General features: G+C 42.1%; 1 annotated feature.

Moving 5' to 3' along the window:
* Positions 740 to 1,307: an enhancer, noted in NCBI's record as "OCT4-NANOG hESC enhancer chr2:205128678-205129245 (GRCh37/hg19 assembly coordinates)". NCBI's record gives its function as "activates a minimal SCP1, AML or CMV promoter by ChIP-STARR-seq in primed H9 embryonic stem cells {active_cell/tissue: H9 hESC(primed)}" and the evidence as "EXISTENCE:reporter gene assay evidence [ECO:0000049][PMID:30033119]".

The raw sequence follows: 4,723 nt of genomic DNA on the forward strand, positions 1-4,723 counted from the left end.
ATCTTGAAAGCACGAGCTGAAAGGGGCCAGAATGAAAAGGCTGTATCCTGTGTGATTCCATTTGTATAAAATTCTAGAGAAGGCAAAATCATAATGACTAAAATCAAATCAGTGGTTGTCTGGGGCTGGGACTTGGGGTTGGGAAAGAGAATTGGCTGCAAAGGGCAGGAGAAAACTCATTTGGGGTAGGTGGAAATGTTCTGAACGTGGCTGTAGTGATAATTACACAAAGGCACATGTTTGTCAAAACTCATGAAATTGCACACTTCGAACAGATGGATTTTTTTTTTTTTTTTTTTTTTTTTGTAGACACATGGTCTCACTGTGTTGCCCAGGCTAGACTTGAACTCCTGGGCTCAAGCAATCCCCCTACCTCATCCTCCTGTGTAGCTGGGATTACAGGCACCCACAACCATAGATGAATTTTATTGCACCTAGATTATGCCTCAGTTACAAAAAATTTTTAAAATCCTTTTTGGGTGGATGAGTTTTTATATTTTATGAAACTGTCATCAAATGAAAACACAAGAGCCAGAGTGAACCATTTTGTGTCTGTTTCAGCTTCATCACCTATTAGCTTTGCTGCTGCAGTTGAATTTGAAGAAAATCGTACTGTAATGCCAAAGCAAGTTGGTATAGAGAATACTGCTGCCATATTTTGTCACGCCTCCACAGCCTTCACAAGTTTTCTTACCCAGTGCTTGAGGAACGTGAACCTGTGATATTAATTGATTAGATGTCAGCTAATCAACTAAGTTTCTTTGGTTAACCACACCCAAGCCAGCTGCCTCATGCCACCCTCCACTCCTTGCCCTAACCGGATACTAATAACAATAGTTACCACAGTCCGCCTCCTCGCATTAACCCAGGAACAGGGCACAAATTGACGATCATTTTTCTTTGTGAATTATGACACATCGCCTCACCCCTGGAAGAAAGCAGCCCCTGCCAATCCTTTAAAACAGCCAGGAGAGAAATGAAAGGCCTGCTATCGCCTATCTGCTCCCCTGCTGACTCTAATTACCCAGTCGGGAATTTTACAATCCCTCCTTCCCGCCTGCCCCCAAATTGTAACAACTACTCCGCAGTCTGCAGACTTTGGCTGGTTCTTTCTTTTGTGTGCCCACCGCTGTCGAGTGGATTGGGCTCCTAATGAGTTCTGACACTAATGGAACTGTGAGGCAGTGCTATTACAGATTCCCCCCATACAGCCCAGACCTCGCAGGAAATGACCCGAGACTCCGCACCCTTCCACCCGCCAAAGAATTCTGTTGAAACCATCTTCAGCGGCCGGCTGCAGCTCTGCTCCCGCCTCTTCCTCAGTTCGGTTTCCTCTTCCCTCCATCATCCTGCAGGTGGCTGAAAATAAGATTTTATGGCCTGGTGCATGGTGGGTTGATTGACAACGCTGGAGACCTTCTTTAATTCAGGGGGGTTGTGGAGCATGGAGGTGAGATTGGAAATGGGAACTGGGGCCCATAAAAACAAAGACTTTCCCAACTTGCTCTTAAAAAGCAATCCAAAGAGGAAAAGAACTAGGGAAGGGACGGTTGTTTTCTATTAGATGCTTAACAATGTGTGTAAGTGGAGGTGATTTAAGAAAAAAAACAACATGTGCTTCTGTAATTTCCATGTTGCGTGTGGTACAGGTGTAAGAGACTGGAGCTAACTATTGAACTGTGAGCTAATTATAGTGAGAAACAGCTGTTGTCCTCTAATGAGGAGTCAGCAGCCACAAGATGCTGCTCTGTGAGGAAGCCCGGGGAAGCCTGTTGCAGGCTTTATTTCAGATTGCTTACCCATTACAAAATATTCCCTGCCACACACTTGGTCACAGGCCCGTTCTCACATCCACTCTAGCAGGTGATAAGTAATTTTCACCTTTCTGAGTCTAGAGAGAGGAGTATGTCCCCATTTTATTAACCTCTATGTTCCTTTTATAATTATTCCCCAGAAGTGTACAATTCCTGACCCCCACCCCAGCTGTGGGTTACCAGGAGGGGTGCCCCCTTTCTGTCTCCCTCTGATTTCTTTCAGCCCATTCCCATTTTTCTAGGTTTCCAGAACAATCAGATATTCCCCAAGCTGTCGACTATTTATCATGTGACACAGATGCTTACCAAACCATATTTTCTGTTTCTTGGTGCTACAGTTTTCTCCCTGAAGTCCCTTAAATGGGAACAAACATCTCTTCAATGTCAAGGAATGTAGAGCTTAGAGGGTCTGTGGAGGAGAAAGAAATACAACTTCCCATCTAGACCTCAGTCCAAACAAACTAGGAAGTGTTCCTGTAAAACTTGATTTTTAACAATGTTAATAAAATCCCATTTCACATCGATACAAGTGTTTAGAACACATTATGCCTCAATACCTTGCAAGGTGGGAAAAAGTTGAAATCCAAATGTGTTGAAGAAGCAGGTGCTCTACTCCATTACTCAAAGCATAAATGCCCCTTTTTGACCACATGAAGAGTAAGCAATTTAAAGTGACCATTTGTTTCCCACCATGTGTAAAGTATTATTTACTGTGCAATTGAATTAAAAACAAGGGCTTGCTATAGCAACTGCCCTAACAAGAGGCACTATTCACTGGCTGCCTTGGAAGCCCAGGGTCCAGGGGCCCATTAAGCACCTTTTTGAAAGCACTTGTCGGCAAACCGGTGGCATATGCGTCTTTTATGGTGTGTACAAGGCGGGGCTTGTACAATGAAAAGTTTCTCTGCAGACTGTATTGCTTTCAGAAGGGAAAGAAGAATGCCAGCAGCTATGTTTTTCCGTAGTTTGGGATTAGTAGAAATTTAATTGAAAATAAAACACAGAGCAACTGTAGTGGCAACTGAGAGGAAGAACAAAGGGTTTCTTCATGAGCCCAGCCCACCACATGGCAGCCCAGGGAGGCTGCCGCTGGCCTCATCTGCTCACTCCCATGCGACATCCAGGGCCTGGGAATAAGCCACTTTGTCATTACCCATCCTGTAGCACCGTTCGCAACCCAGGCATCCTTGAAAGAACCAGGGAGATTTCTGCAACACAGAGAAGGATGTGTTTAATTTATAGTTTGGTGCATGTGTCCACTTAAGGTCAATGTCTTGTCTCTTCTTACCCAGTAACCTTTTCTTGTTCCCCACCCCCCCACCGCCCCCATACATTCTAGTGCCCTTTTTGCCCCACATAATATCTCTGAAATCTTTATTTCATTCCTTGATTTTTTAAACCTCGGAGAAGTAATTTTTCCTTCTCTCTCTCTCAATGAATTTTGAAGAAGTCATGGATATTAATTACGACATACCATAGGCAAAGATTAGGTAAGAACGGGGGACTGTGAGGATTTTGTCCTCCTGAAAACAGTAACCCAAGGTCCCTGACTAATCTGATTGTCCCTCTTAAAGCTTCCCAGGTATTAGAGATTAGTAATATTGTCTGCTGTGTTTTATCCCTTTCTATCCCCAAATAACAGCTTCTGGAGTGTTCTGGCATGACCTCCTTCAGCTCTGAGCCTCCGCGTGAAGGTGACATCTGTCTAAGTGTCTCCTTCTTTCCTGCTTGCTTCTTTAGAATGGCAAAGGTTACCCTTCAGTAATATCACTGCCTCCTGACTGTGGCTAGGAGTAAAAGCATCTTCCGTCGTGTGATGTCTGGGGAAACTCAAGAGGCCAGGTCTCTTGTTTCAATAATATTGGCTGCCTTGATTCAAAGTGGCTATCTCCTAAGTTTGATTTTTTCATGAATGTTATGCTCAGTGGTTTTAATTCCTGCATTCTGGTGTTTTTACTCACTATTACTTCCACACCATTTGTGGATTATGTCAGAATCTAGCATGATTTCTTGCACATATCAAGTGTTAAATAAATGTTTCATATGAATGAATGAATGAATGAATCAAAAGAATGTTCTACATTGGAAAATAGCAGTTTGGTTTAACCTATTTGCAGATGAAAGAAAGAAGCTTGAAATGTAACTTCCTAAGGTGCCTACTAGCTCCTTAGAGGAACTTATTATATAGGAGACTTTGATTCAAGTTGTACTTTAAGATATATCAATAGGGAGAAATTAGCAAAAATGGCACAGTAAATCATTCCTAATTTTGACAATCCTGCGGGGGACAGATTCCACACAGAATATGGGCCCACAATTCCTTCTTCATAATTCCAGAATCCAAAAAGCTCTGATAAACAAAAGTTTTTCTTAACTCATTTGGCAGGAAATGTGACTGGAACTGACACAAGACTATTTAGAACCTTTGTTTATATTTATATCTCTTTGTCACCTTCACATGGAGGCTCAGCTTCACTAAGGGCAGCTATTCATATGCACCTCTGCAAATGTATGAATGTTTGATTATAAAGAGCTCCAGATATCCCTTGGTGTGTTAGGTAATAAATGACATATTTGCCAGAATCATTCCTTTTTCTAAAAATCTAAAAAATCCTGAATTTCAACCCACATGGCCTCAAGGGGTTCAGAAAAGAGGTCAGAGATCTATATTAACAAAATGCTGTTTTAGTATGTTCATGTTTATTCAGTAAGTTGAACAGATTATCAACAAGACAAGACATCCAGAGGTCCTAAATATTGTAATTAGGATTTCAAAGTATTATATTTTTAAAGCATGAATTCCTCATATAGCCAACATGTCATAAACACAGAAGAGGCAGCTGGCATTATCATGCCATCAAGACCAGAGAGAACGGTGCTGTCACTCTTATTTTCAAGGAACTCACAGT

Source organism: Homo sapiens, chromosome 2 (genome assembly GCF_000001405.40).
Source record: "Homo sapiens chromosome 2, GRCh38.p14 Primary Assembly".
Lineage (NCBI taxonomy): Eukaryota > Metazoa > Chordata > Mammalia > Primates > Hominidae > Homo > Homo sapiens.